The 15,196-nt window shown below is 39.2% G+C and overlaps 1 long non-coding RNA gene across 3 annotated transcripts in view; it reads left to right on the forward strand.

The window, feature by feature from the left end:
- The window catches only part of LOC107983963 (uncharacterized), a 42,518-nt gene that overhangs the window by 7,780 nt on the left and 19,542 nt on the right, over positions 1 to 15,196 (forward strand). Inside the window, exon 1 of one of the 3 annotated variants that reach the window (XR_939610.2) lies at positions 2,762 to 2,835. The exons of the other annotated variants lie outside the window; for them this stretch is intronic. This is a non-coding gene — a long non-coding RNA (uncharacterized LOC107983963). Of the gene's footprint in view, positions 1 to 2,761; positions 2,836 to 15,196 lie in introns of those variants that run through there. 3 annotated transcript variants of the gene reach the window in all.

A 15,196-nucleotide genomic window follows, 5' to 3' on the forward strand; every position in this document is an offset into this window, starting at 1 on the left:
AGAAGTTCTCTTGCTCATTCTTCATAGGAAATAGGTGCTGTTACGTTCTTGTTTATTTTTTCTACACATAGTTATCTTATTGTGAAAGGCTGTTTTGCAAGAAATAGGAAATCTGCTTACCACAAATTCTGATAATTAGATGGTGAAATGAGACCCACCTAAGATGATTAAAGAGTTAGAAAATATGGCCTAAGTAGAAGCATTAACACAGTTACGCTGTATAATTTTTAATCCTTTTTTTAAAGAATGGGTTGATTTAACAACAAACTGTTTCAGGTAGCTGCCAATAATATTTCTATCTATCTTAATTTTTTTTTTTTTTTAAGTCAGAGTCTCAGTCTGTCACCCAGGCTGGAGTACAGTGGCGCTATTTTGGCTTGCAGCAACTTCTGCCTCCTGGGTTCAAGCGACTCTCTTGCCTCAGCCTCCTGAGTAGCTGGGATTACAGGCGCGTGCCACCATGCCTGGCTGATTTTTATATTTTTAGTAAAGACAGGGTTTCACCATGTTGGTCAGGCTGGTCTTGACCTCCTGACCTCGTGATCCACCCGCCTCAGCCTCCTAAAGTGCTGGGATTACAGGCGTGAGCCACTGTGCTCAGCCCTTCATTTCTTATAGATCAAGAAAAACTGAGTTTTTATTGCTGCATGAGATCAATAGTTTAGGAATAAAGGGTAATTTTTGATAGGATTTATGTAGTGGCAACATGACTAAGCTGAAAGAGCTAGGAATTGGAAGACCTGTATGAATGACCTAGCTCTTCTGCTTAATTGGTGGCTTGATCTTGGCCACGTTTTCAGATGAGCCTCCCTTGCTTGTTTGTAATGGGAAGAAGCTGTGCGTGCCTCCCACCTCACCTGTTGTGAAGGTCCAAATAAGAAAATGCATAAAAAGCACTTTGTAAACTGTAAGGGCCAAACAGATAAAGCTGTTTTTGAATGAGGGAATTGGAGACAGAAATCTTTTTTTGCTAAAAGTCTTCAAAAGTAAGTCAGAATCTCATTTTTCTGGGGGTAGTTCTAGCCAGTCTTTTCCACAAGTAGCAAGAAAGACTAGGGGAGCACTGTCAACATTTGTCATGAGGGGGTCGGGGGTTTTGTTCTGCTTGCATATATAGCTGAAAACTTCAAGACTCTTTATGAACTGACTTGACAAGATACTCCATCACCAGCCGTGATTATCTGGTATAAAAGCCTTATGGGGATGTTGCTCTTTGTCCTGAACTCTCTCTCTCTTTTTTCCGACTCCTGTGTCTGGCGAGTACATACTCCCTTCTTTGTACTATGCTGGAACACCTTGCTGTGCTGCAGTCATCATTGTTGAATCCGACGTGGCTTCCCTCATTCGTGCAATAGGAAATTCACTAATTAATGACTGTATGCCAGCTGTGCCTCCCAGCCGCTCTTCACCCTGCCCTGTTGTACTTGCACATCCCCATTCCTTCCCTCCCACTGCCTATCTCCACAGCGGAAGCTGGACACCCTGGAACACCTACATTCTAAAACTGATTTTAAGTCTAACAGGATGAGAATGTCCTACTAGGCTACCTGAGAACTTGATCTATAAACTGTACCGGTCACATACCCCCACTCTTTCAGAAATTGCTTGTATTTTATTGTAAAAATTATTGTTACAGGGTTAAGTGCTGCTAGGAAAGTCATGCCGCAAGGAGAGCAAACAGCCCTCGTGTCCTGGGCATGTCCTGATTTCTTCCGCTTCAATCGGTGCCACTATTCTTTTTATCAAGACCTGAAATTATTCTATAATTTCCTTCCAGCACCAAAGATGCTATATTTTGAAATATTTTTATCTATTAAATTGCTTTTCATTCAGTAATATTTTTGTCTTTATTAATCAGATCTATCAATCAAAATTCATGATCAGGGTGAGACAACTATTTGTTACCACACATGGCTGATAAACTCGCAGCCAGAAGCAAACGATTTTGCGGTTTTTCTTAGCCTGGGCTGCTTTAAGGAGTGTAAATTTATGAATCTCAATTTCACTGTTTGGAAGTATCTATAAGAGCTCTGTTATGGACGGCAGATTTTGGTTCCCCCATCCTGCCCCTCTTCCACATGTCAAAGACCTGACCCTCCAGTGAGATGGTGTTTGGAGCTAGGGCCCTTGGGGGGTAATTAAGTTTAGATGAGATCATGAGGGTGGACCTCTCGTGATGGGATTAGTGGCCTTCTAAAAATAGGAAGAGAGAGAGATCTCTCTCCAAACACACGCATCAAGGAAAAGCCACGTAAGAACATAGCAGCAAGAAGGCAGCATTCTGCAAATTAGGAAGAGGGCCCATACCACAACCCAACAGTGCTGGCAGCCTGATCTCAGCCCTCCAGACTGCAGAACTGTGAGAAATAAGTATCTGTTCTTTAGGCCACCCAGTCTATGGTATTTTGTTATAGCAGCCCTGGCTCATTAAGAGGAGCGCTCTCAATCCTCTTGCTATCTCCTTGCACCCTTAGGATTGAGAACTTTTTTTTTTTCTTTGACGGAGTCTCGCGCTGTCGCCCAGGCCGGAGTGCAGTGGCGCGATCTTGCCTCACTGCAACCTCTGCCTCCCAGGTTCATGCCATTCTCCTGCCTCAGCCTCCCAATTAGCTGGGACTACAGGCACCCGCCACCATGCTCGGCTAATTGTTTGTATTTTTAGTAGAGGCGGGGTTTCACCATGTTAGCCAGGATGGTCTCGATCTCCTGACCTCGTGATCCTCCCACCTCAGCCGCCCAAAGTGCTGGGATTACAGGCGTGAGCCACCGCACCCGGCCAGGATTGAGAACTTCCAACATGGGAACCACTACAACAGAACAAGACCCTTGAAACAGGTTTGTGATTGTAATTCCTTAATGCTGACCATGATGTGTAAATTACAATATGTGGCTTTCATTAATTCAACATTAGTTTGAGCCATTCTATTCGATTATATTATCAGTCACCATATATTAGTTATTCTGTGGGCTCAGGAAAATATGCTAAGTATTTTATTTGTGTGGGAAATATGTTTTTTAAGACCAAGTATTTGTAAATGTTCTCTTTTCTGTAGGATTTTTTTTCTTTTGGATACAAATATAGTTAAAGCTCATTGAGAACCTGCCTGATGGATGCTTCTATGCCTTGTTTCTAACAGTTCCCCAACACTTTAAGAAACTGAATATTAAAGAAGATATTTGTCCAGGGCCACTCAACTGGCTGGTGGTAGAGCTGAGATCTGCCTTCTAGGTTTTATGCCTCCAAAGCTCCTGAACTTCAAAGTAGATTTCACAGTCACTTTAGCAAATGGTCTGACCCACATTCTTCCCAAAATTAGATTTACTGCTCAAGTCAATTGGAGTCTTTAAAAAGTTACTTATTTTCATGGCCTAGACTCAGACAAATGCATTCCTAGTGAAACTGAAGGCCTGGGTCACTGAGGTATTGGCCTTTCAGTCAGCCCACCATCGTGGCCACCACCTAAGGTGGATGAGTTGTCATGCAAGGAGAATGAGGAGGGTGGGAAGGGTTCTTATGCTTACCCATGAAGAACTGGGGAGATTCTGTCTGGAGAGGAGAGAAAAGAACCCATGCCTTTCAGCAGGAAGAGATATCTTGTCATCTGATATTTAAGTAACATTTCATGGCCGGGCACCATGGCTCAAGCCTTTAATCCCAGCACTTTGGGGGGCCGAGGTGGGCAGATCACGAGGTCAAGAGATCGAGACCAGCCTGGCCAATGTGGTGAAACCCCGTCTCTACTAAAAATATAAAAATTAGCTGGGCGTGGTGGCGCGCACTTGTAATCCCAGCTACTCGGGAGGCTGAGGCAGGAGAATCGCTTGAACCCAGGAGGCAGAGGTTGCAGTGAGCCAAGATCAGGCCACTGCACTCCAGCCTGGCAACAGAGCAAGACCCCATCTAAAAAAAAAAAAAAAAAGTAACATTTCATTAAGGTTCAGCAGTGATTTTACTAACCATACCCTTTAACCACACACACACACACACACACACACACACACACACCACACACACATGTAAAAGAGACTTCTGGCTCTGCCACTTTCTAGCTGTCTGACGTCTGTTTCAGTTTTCCCATCTGTAAATTGGGGCTTAATAATTGTACCTAATTTTTAGAGTTCTTATAGAGATTAGATATCTTCATACAGATAAGTCCCTTAGAAAGATTCCTGACACAATAATGTTGGATATTATGACAGTAATTATTATTTTCAGACTGTATGCTCTGATGCCTATAAATAAATATGCCAATAGAAATACATCCTCCTGACTTTTATTTGACTTGGCCCATGCTGCAATATATAATGTCCATTTACTGCTCCATTCCCTTTGTAATCACCACTTCCCAAAATAATGATTCCTTCTCATTTGAGGCGTCTTGCAGAAAACACTGGAATGAGATTTGAAATCACAATCAACACATCCCCAAAGACATAGGTTAAAAACTTATTGATCCAATCCAGTGAACAAAATAGAGACTACTCAAATCAAAGATGGTGCAAAGATAAATGTGAAGGTCATATTAACACAAGGAAATGTTGCCAAGGTAGGAAATAAATATCAACCAAAAAATGACAACAGCCTGGAAAAATGCAAACTAGAAAATCTGGAGGGAAGGAAGTGCTGAAATATAAACCAGGAATATGCTTCAAAAAAGTCTGGTATAAAATACAAAATAAGCTTGAAATAAAGCAAAAAATGTATGATCTTAAGAACTACAGTTAAGGAGACGTGAATGCCTTATCTTATAAGCTTCTTAAAGGCATTGAATTTGCTTGGTCTTTAACAGATATATAAATGTCATATAATATCATACTTGTTTTTAACTATCTGGTTGAGGTATGACAGTAGGAATAAGTGTTAGAATCATTAATCTGTTTTTAATTCTGTTTTCAAATCTTGTGCATGAGTGTGCAGGTTAGTGAGCAGCTGGGTACTGGTGTACTGACCCTACCACTTTTTCCTACACATTTTCATCCAGTTAAGCAATAGTGGGGGAATCTAGCAGAATTCAAATCATCAGCTTTATGACTTGTAAATTGAATTAGAGCATTCGATTTTGGTCTGCAGACTGCCCACTCCCCTTTTAAATTAGATTCACTCTCCTAGTCCCAGGCACAACTGTCCATGTACTGTCTTTGCAGATGGCTTCCATTTCTTGGGCTAAGACTATTGCTCTAATCCTGGAGTATAAGAAACATAGTAAAACATGTCAATATAGGAAAACATAGTAAGCAGATCATGGATCTTGGAAGTCAGACAGACCAGAATTCATATCTGGCTTTGCTACTTATCAGTTTTATCATCCTGAGGAAGTTATTTAAATTCTTCAGACATCCTATTACTCTTCTCTAGTATGCTTGCTCCAGATGGAAATGTCAGAATCCAAAATCCACAATGTAAGCATATAAATTTTTTATTTAACTAGATCAATTTCTGATGTTAAACTTTTGTTTGGAGAATGCATCTTCACTTTGAACTGGAGGCAAACTATTCACTGGAATAGTCTCTTTCCTCCAAATTACTTTTCAGAGAACTTTTGTTCTTCCTCTCCTCCTTCCTTCCTTTCTTTCCTTCCTTCTTTTTCTTTCTTTATCCCTTCCTTTTTTCCCTTCTTACTCTCTTTCTTTCTTTCCTTCCTCCCTCCCTCTCTCTTTCCTTCCTCCCTCCCTCTCTCCTTCCTTCCTTTCTTCCTTTGGAAAAAAAAAAAAAGAAAGAAAATTCTTGTTTTACAATACTGGTAGAACACAGGCTTCGTCAGGTTGAGGGCTTCTACCCACCATGCAGTGGTGTTACAGACCGTTTCTACATCTTAAAGTTGTCAAGGGTGTCGGGGTGGAGAGGAGGGACGCTTGCCTGAGTCCTCAGTATCCATGTTATGGGTGAGTCAGGTGTTGACTCATCTCACACGGCCCCATCCTGGTCCACGGCTTTGGCAGATTCTCTGCTACAATGGGGACAAGATCTTTTTGAAATTGCCCCTACTTCCCTCTGCCAGCTGCTCTTTGAATCCACACTCACCTGGAGGCTCACAGCCTCCAGGAAGCAATGCCAGAAATCTGGGGCTGGGTTTCCCCTGATGCAGGACCTCAAAATATATATTCTTCTTTTCTGTTCCCCTTCAACCATTGAAGACATTTTTTTTTTCTAATTTGTGGTGGGGAAACAGCTCCTTTCTCCTATTTGCAGCTCCAAGATGATACTCCTTTGGTGAGCTAATTCTCTTGTACATTTCTTCTGCTTCGTCTGAAAAGTCTTTGATTTCTTCAAAGAACTTAGACTTTTCTTCCTGCTCCCTCCTAAGACATTGTGGTATCTTCTTGACTGAAAGAAACAGACAGGTTAAAATGTGTGCATGGGGGTAGGGGTTGGAGGAGGAGAACAAAACAAAGCAAAACTTACACACACAAGTTAATATCTGAGTACAGCACCCAGTTATAGCACCTGCGTGCTATTGATTGGAGATAAATGTGCCCTGTCTATAGGACATTAGTAACATAAGGTATATTCTATTAGAAATAATGCATGTAAGTGATGGATCATTTTTGTTGAATAATGTGAAAATCATTACAGTGAAAAGAGAAGACTTCAGACCTACAACTGTGTTTGTGTATGTGTATCCCTCGTGTCTGTATATATATTTAGAATACTTAAAACACATTCAATTTACTAATGGTTTACTGCTTCCCATGCCCTGTTTGCTGTACAGCTAGTATTGTGCTAAATATAATGGTAGATATGAAGTAAGCTTCACACATGTAAAATTCTTTCGGAGTTATATGGAACGACTAGGAAATTATTTGTCAGAGCAGCTTTGACTTCACTCTTTAAAAAAGTCTCTCTGAAAAGTTGACACTTTTGTCAAAAAGATTCCCACATAATATGACAACATAAGAGTAAACTTGCACTGATACAGAGTCAAAAATAAGAAGTCCTTCTACATGACTTCAAGCTCCCAGTCAGATTTCCTTGTAGATGACTGACTACTCCAGAAGAACTTTAAAGAATTCTGGCATGCCCAGTAATGAAGGGGACCCGTCCAGCACTGAAGGAACAAGAGGATTTCTAAAAAGGGACACTTTTCTAATGCGATTCACTGATCTATTTAGAAACCATGGCACAAATGAAAACATCAAGTGTTTGTGTTAGAAAACTGATGAACCCTGATGAACACAAATAAGTGATGTTTTCATGTTTTTTTTTTTTGCTAAGAAAAAAGATTATAGAAAAATAGCAGGCAACCCTTATTTGCCAATTAGACACAAAATGAAATCAAAACCCAACATTTATAGAAAGAACAATTAAGAAACTTTTGGCCAACTACAAGTTCAAAGAAAATAACAATAGTAGGCGACAAAGTAGAAATAAGTCGTTTTGCTCTGAAAGGTTATAGTTGAAAGAAGGTGACTATCTAGCCTAGAGATTTCGTAGAAATTGTGGCATAGTAAACTCACCTAAAAAGTGTTACAGTATTTCAAATTAGCTGCTCACAAAAGCGAAAGCCAAGTCTCATTTTTATAAACTCCAGTCCTTCTGTCCAAGTTCTTTTGTGTTAACTGGATTCTACAGTCTTTTTTTAAAAGAAAACAACAACAACAACAAAACAAAAAAAACACTTAATGGATTAAGGTTGCATCTTGGGATTTAGTCATTTTAATATGTGGAACTTCTCTCATAATTCTTGATGAATGTTCTTTCAAATTTTACCTGCGTCATATTTCACAAATATTGATTGCAGACAGCAAATGTTGCTCACTTCTTCACCAATTGTTTTCTCAGACTCAATCCTCGTTTTAGTTGCCACTGACAGACTTTGTACTCACCCAAGAACATTTTAGAGGAGACCTAGAGCTTTTAGTTGGACATTTTCTTGGAAGCATCTATCTCTTATGTAATTCAAGCCTTGCTTGAAACTAAATGTGGAGAAAACAAATTACAAAAATTCAGAAAGCATTATAATTACAATGCTGGGGGCATTTTATTCCCATTAGGAGGACCATGGATCTCTCCTTCCTAACTATAACACCTGCAGATCATTTCTCTGTGTGGACTTACCAGAGTCCAGTTTCTAACCCGTAGGGTGGAGAATAAGGTACTTCATTACAAACCTCAAATGCAGTGTCAACATGCTGAGACCATTTCCCTGAGCACTTGTTCCCTACAGCATGAGAGAAAATGACCCTTTAATGTGTATTCAGTCAAAAAAAATATATTTGTATTAGGAATATTTCTCTGAGACTTCTGTGCTGGGAATTAAAGCTATATCTATATACGTAAAATAAACAAACTGCCCCGTGGCTGGTCTGCTCATTTCAGCTGTCTTCATGATCAATGTGGATTGTTGCACAATCGATTCAACCACAGCAATCAGTATTATTCATGCACTCTAGGAAACTTGGTGCAAGTAAAATGGCTGGGATGTTGGAAAGTGTACTCACTTGTTAGATATTTGATTTAAGGAATTTTGAAAAAATCGCATTTTATTTTTTTAAACTCTCAATTTAATCTTTTCTGAGTCAAAATGTTGGATCCCTAGAATAAAACCTGAAGTTTGAGATAATCTTTTCAACATCTCATTAATGATAATTTCTGTAAAATCTTAATAATTTATCGTGAGTCTTCTAGTGCTAAATATACACTTAAAACTCAGAGAAAAATTGCCATCATAATTTCCAGGACAGTAAAGCTTGAATGTCTAGAAAAACAGTGTGTGGTTCACAGAAACTTAGATTAAAGTCCAGTTGGTTAAAAAAAATACTCTTTGCAAAATTTTCTCTAGCATGTATCATACGCAAAAATGCCCAATTTGGCAGCTTTTCTAGGTAGCTTTCCAATCATCAGTCCGGCAGCAACCTACAAGGATTTAATAATTCTTATATCTAGGCTTTTCAAAGACTCTTTGTAAGAAATTTTGATTTTTTCTATATTGTAAATATCAAAGAGATTAACTTCCCAAGAAGTCACTTTGTTTAGTAAAAGCCAACTACAAACAAGAGGCCGCAAATCAAAGTATGTTGTACAGACATCATTATTGGCCACATAGTGAAATTCTACAATATCAAATGCCCCAAAGTAAATTGGATTCCAGGTGAATTTCTGTGATAATATTGAATGCATCTGCCATTGAAAAGAGACATCTGTAGGTCTTCAGGTGAAATTGTTTACTAACTTAGGTCAATATAATTTGACTACCAATTGACAAAATTGTTCTATTGGATATATAAAGGCTATCCTCCAGGAAAGTTAAATATCTGCTAAAATTGCGAAGATTCTGATATCCAAAAATACCATGAATACCATGTGAGAAGCAGAGTCTACTATGAAGACCACAGAATATCTGTGTTGTCAGTTCATTTCGACTAGAAATCAGTTGTATTCCTCGTGGAATATAAGGAATATATTCCTTCAAGGCAGCAGATGTTAAACTTCTTGGTCTCAGGATACCTTTTCACTTTAAAAAATATTGAGGGCTTCAGGAGTTTATATATATGTTGACTATCTCTGTCAATATATAGCATATTAAAATTTAAACTGAGAAATTTTTTAAACACAAGAATACACAGGCACACGTTCCATTGGCTGTCAGAGTGATCGCATAGTCACTCTTCGTGAAACCTCTGGAGAACACTGCGTGCCCACGGGAGAATGAGAGCAACAATGGCAAACAACGTCTCCTTATTAAAATGCTTTGACCTCACCAAGGCCTTGAAACAGTATTGGGGACCCCTAAACACGTCTCAGGGACCTGTTTCACACATCATGAGAAATGCTGTTCCAAAGACTTTTTCTCACTTGTAGAAGCTGGATAATAATAATCACAAAGATTTGTTTGTTACATATATGTTGTGTAAATATAAATGATCATTACTGAGCAAACTTCCTAACCTCTCCAAGCATGAGTTCCATCAGCTGTTAAATGGATATAACAATACCAGTCTTGAGGGATAGCATTAGGAGATATACTTAATGTTAAATGACGAGTTAATGGGTGCAGCACACCAACATGGCACATGTATATATATGTAACAAACCTGCACATTGTGCACATGTACCCTAAAACTTAAAGTATAATAAAAAAATAATAATAATAGTACCTCCAAAAAAAAAAAAAAAAACCAGTCTTGCACGGTGGTTGTGAAAATTAGCATTGATGTGTGTCTAACCCAAAGTAGGCACTTACACATTACAAAATTTATCTAATTTGTTTAACTTCTTTCTAACTATTAATTAATTATGAAGCAAAGCTATGAAAAATGTATAATCTAGGAAAGGTTTTTCTTCTTATGCAATAATGACCAAATGAAGGGAACACGTCAAGAACTATCCTCTGGCTATTGTTATTCTGATGCAAAATGTGCTGCTGAATGTTTCTTACTAGATACTTACAGAAGCATGAAGAACATTTGTCAAACTTAGTCCTGAAAAGGTATGGAATTTGTGGGGCATAATTAAACATGAATATAACATTTCACACAAAGTGATAACACTGGAATGAAAAAAGAACTGGGGCTTCATGGAGCATGGAGCATTTGTGGTGTATTTGAAGGGAGAGGAGGTATTTGACGATAAGACACTGGTAGGAGTTGAGTGAAGCACATTTTTTTATTATTATTATTATTATTATTATACTTTAAGTTTTAGGGTACATGTGCACAATGTGCAGGTTAGTTACATATGTATACATGTGCCATGCTGGTGTGCTGCACCCATTAACTCGTCATTTAGCATTAGGTATATCTCCTAAAGCTATCCCTCCCCCCTCCCCCCACCCCACAACAGTCCCCAGAGTGTGATGTTCCCCTTCCTGTGTCCATGTGTTCTCATTGTTCAATTCCCACCTATGAGTGAGAATATGTGGTGTTTGGTTTTTTGTCCTTGCGATAGTTTACTGAGAATGGTGATTTCCAATTTCATCCATGTCCCTACAAAGGACATGAACTCATCATTTTTTATGGCTGCATAGTATTCCATGGTGTATATGTGCCACATTTTCTTAATCCAGTCTATCATTGTTGGACATTTGGGTTGGTTCCAAGTATTTGCTATTGTGAATAGTGCCGCAATAAACATACATGTGCATGTGTCTTTATGGCAGCATGATTTATAGTCCTTTGGAAGCACATTTTAAGAGAAAGAAATCTTCAAAGCTTGACTGTTGGTCACAAGTCAAGGTTGGAGGCACCTCCAAGCCCTCCAAATACTAGATAAGGATGAGCTGACAGCAATAGGATTGCATAGAAGTTGTGTTAGGCTCCCAAGTACTCTCCCTGATTCCATGCAGTCATGGGAAATTGCTTCTCCTCATCCTGGCAGAAGCAAGGTTTGCTTTCTGCAGACACTCATTCAGAGAAGCTGTGTGTAGGTGTAAGGCACTGCCCCAGGGGAGTGTCAGGTGCTGCTGAACACAGAGGGATGAAACTGGTGTCTCCATCCTGAAGAGTGACAGCCCTGTCCCTTGCACTTGAACCCTGAACACTGGCACCCTAGATAATATCATTCAGGGAAAAGAATAACTCAAAAGGAATGAAATTTGGATATTGATTTTGGGAATCTACCAAGAAAATGACTGGCTCCTTAATCAGTGTATAGTGAGGCCCATCAGTCAACAAGCTCACCCAGGTACAGGGAGTTTCTGAGAAGTTGTCTGCATCTTGTTCTTAAATTTTACTAGTGACCTAAGAAATAAGGATTACTATACATTTGAGAATAGCTTGTCATATGTAAGATAGGGAGCAAACCTCCCCATACTCTGATAGCCAGCTGGGTAGCTAGCTAGAAGACTGATGATAGGTAGGTAGGTAGGTAGGTAGGTAGATAGACAGATACATACATACATACAGATAGATACATACATAAGTAGATACATAGATTAGATGATAGGTAGATACATACATACAGATAGATATATACATACATAAAAAGATACATAGATTAGATGATAGAAGATAGATAGATAGATAGATAGATAGATAGATAGATAGATAGATAGACAGATAGACCGACCAATAGATAAAAGAGCTCTGAAGTCAGACTGCTTGGGTTGAAACATTGTCCCTGCCCCCTTTGCTAATCGAATGACCTTGAATAAGTCACTTAAATCCTGAAGCCTCAATTTTCCTTATCTGTGACATGAGGATAATAATAGTTCCTACCTAATAAAGGTGAAGATTACATGAAATAAAGTATGACGTGCAGACTAAGCATCTAATACATATTTTCAACATAATTGGCAAAAAGTGCAGGGTATGCTTGAAAAACTCCGTTTTTCGGCTTAGTTGAATTACTCTGAACATAAAGTAGAAAGCGAAGATAGAGCCAGATGGTATTTTATTTTGACTATTACATACTAATATAACTTAGGCTATGTGAGAGAATTATTTACAGGGAAAAGTTTACTAACCTTTTCTTCACCTAAGAAAGTTCCCACGAGGCACTGCCTCACACCTTCTGCCCCCAACAAGAAACAGTGCGTGACTCTTGAGTACACAGGGTGTGAAAAGCTCATAATACCCTAATATGTCTCTCTAAGTACAATTGGTTGTTCATGTTAAATTGGAAACACTTAATAACTGCAAAGTTAATATGTGATTAAATAACAACAGCAAAAAACCTCTTCTCCCTCTTGCCCAAATAGGGGCTCATAGCTCTTTCAGTGTACCCGGGGCCCCTTTCTCAGCTTCAGAAGGCTGGATATTGTGGCAATTAATTGTTTAAACACACTACGAAGGATTATGATGAGAGGAAAACATAAAACATAATAAACACTTGGTAACCAGTTTATTTCAATAGCAGCTCCTCTGCCAAGCCAGCAGATTTTTCTAGGACAGAGCTCCCTTCCATAGGCAGCTAATCTAGGACAGAGCTCCCTTCCATAGGCAGCTAATCTAGGACAGAGCTCCCTTCCATAGGCAGCTAATCTAGGAAGAGCTCCCTTCCATAGGCAGCTAATCTAGGACAGAGCTCCCTTCCATAGGCAGCTAATCTAGGAAGAGCTCCCTTCCATACACAGCTAAGAAAGATCAGGGGAATGGCCTTCAATGGACCCCGCTCATCATTCCCTACACAGTCGCAAAAGGCTCACCACCTCCTTCCCATGGCCCGGCTAAAAGAAAAGGTGTTATGTTTCTTTAACTCTTTGGAGCATAAAGGAGCTGTTTTTTTTTTTTAGTAAGAATAACATTATAATCAGGTGTTGTTTAAAAATAGCAACAAGGCACAAAGAAAACAGGCATTGACACCAAGAAAAATTAGCTGACACCACGTAATAGGAGAGATTTATTCATGAATGACGGAAAGTTATAGAACTTCTTTTCTTTCCTTAGCAGCATGTCATCATTGCAACAAAGTCATGGCAAGAGCACGTGCAACATTAGGTTCAATTGATCTCAGATCCTTCCTCACCAGTGTCGCAGCAAATTCATTCTTCACCAATAGCTTAAGTCTTTCTAGGTTCCTAGACTCCTATGTCTCAGGTGGGGTTTTTTAATTTATTTTTGTTTTTGTTTTACCCCCCAACATTAATGTTCCTGAGAGGTGTGTTTGTTTTGTTTTGTTTTGTTTTGTTTTGTTTGAGATAGAGTCTCGCTCTGTTGCCCAGGCTGGAGTGCGGTGGCGCGATCTCGGCTCACTGCAAGCTCTGCCTCCCGGGTTCACGCCATTCTCCTGCCTCAGCCTCCCGAGTAGCTGGGACTACAGGCTCCCGCCACCACGCCCGGCTAATTTTTTGTATTTTTAGTAGAGACAGGGTTTCACCATGTTAGCCAGGATGGTCTCGATCTCCTGACCTTGTGATCCACCCGCCTCGGCCTTCCAAAGTGCTGGGATTACAGGCGTGAGCCACCGCGCCCGGCCGAGAGGTGGTTTTTTAATTGGTGAGAGGGCTGGGGGGATCAGGCAGGGGAGGTTGCAGTGGCATTGGAGAAGACAATGCCTAGGGGTTGATTAGTTACCACTACTAAGGGCCTACAGATTCATTTGGGAAAAATTCTATGGAAAATCAACTGGAGGAAGGTTTCTTCCTTGGGGAGGGTAATGCAGGGTGCCCATGTGGACATGCATGTGAGCATGTGCGTGCTGTGTGTAGGCTCCAATTACCCTTCAAATGCTAATCTTCTATGATTTTACACATTGATACCATGACCAAAACATGTTAATTACACATGTGCACAGATCACTGGAAAATGTATATCGCTGAAGACTTAGTTTCTTCCATGTCTAGAGCTCAGTTTATTAATATGTTGTTCCATATAACAAGTTCATTAATGTTGCTGATTTTTAACATTTAGAATATTAATAGTTCTGAGCATGATATTTTGATCTTTCCTCAGAGTGATTTTTGAAAATATGAAAAATGAGAAGAGAAGTAGTTACCTATTAACTTGCTGAAGTCTGACAGGAACAGTTGACCAGAGTCCCCTGCAAGGGCTCTTGGGAGCACTGGGTACCGAGCAGAGCCTTCATCCTTGTTAATTAACCGTCCAACATTGAGACAGGACTTCTGCTTAGAATAAATGGCTTGTTAGAAAACAGAGCTACACACATACACAGAATCTTTTCATTCACGGATAACTGAGTGTTTTAGAAAATCCAGACTTTTCTAAGACTTTCCAAGTTTTAATTTCAAATATATTTTCCATGTTTACATTATAACTGACCATGTGTCTAAATATAGCTAGTCTATACTATATGTATTCTAATTGCTTGATATGGAGCCTGCAGCTGAGTACTTGAATCCAGCATTCACAGAGTGATACAGTGTATGAAAACCTTTTACAATATTTTCAAACAAATGTAATGAATAATAATGATTTAAAGGTCATAACTCTTAGCTATTCTTATATTTTATGACATTCCTCTGCAAGGCAATATGCATTAAACAATGGCTAAACATTAAAAATATGTTTTAGAAGATTTTAAAAATAAGAGGCATTTCAGATCTGCAGAAAATCCTCATGTGTCATATTATTTTAAAGAAATGCTGGAATGCAAATATGAATTGACCTATACTTGATTATCTGTTTTGATTTCATTATTCAATGTCTTCACATGGAAGATCTTGACAGTCCAACAATTCGTTTTCTGTTCTCTTTTCAGATTTTTTTTTAATTTGGAAAAAGAAAATGGCATTTTATTTCCTGCTTTTATGGACTCCAAAGTCATAAAATTGTAAAGAGGAGAAAAACTGTCAATTTTTTA

Source organism: Homo sapiens, chromosome 4 (genome assembly GCF_000001405.40).
Source record: "Homo sapiens chromosome 4, GRCh38.p14 Primary Assembly".
Taxonomy (NCBI): Eukaryota; Metazoa; Chordata; class Mammalia; order Primates; family Hominidae; genus Homo; species Homo sapiens.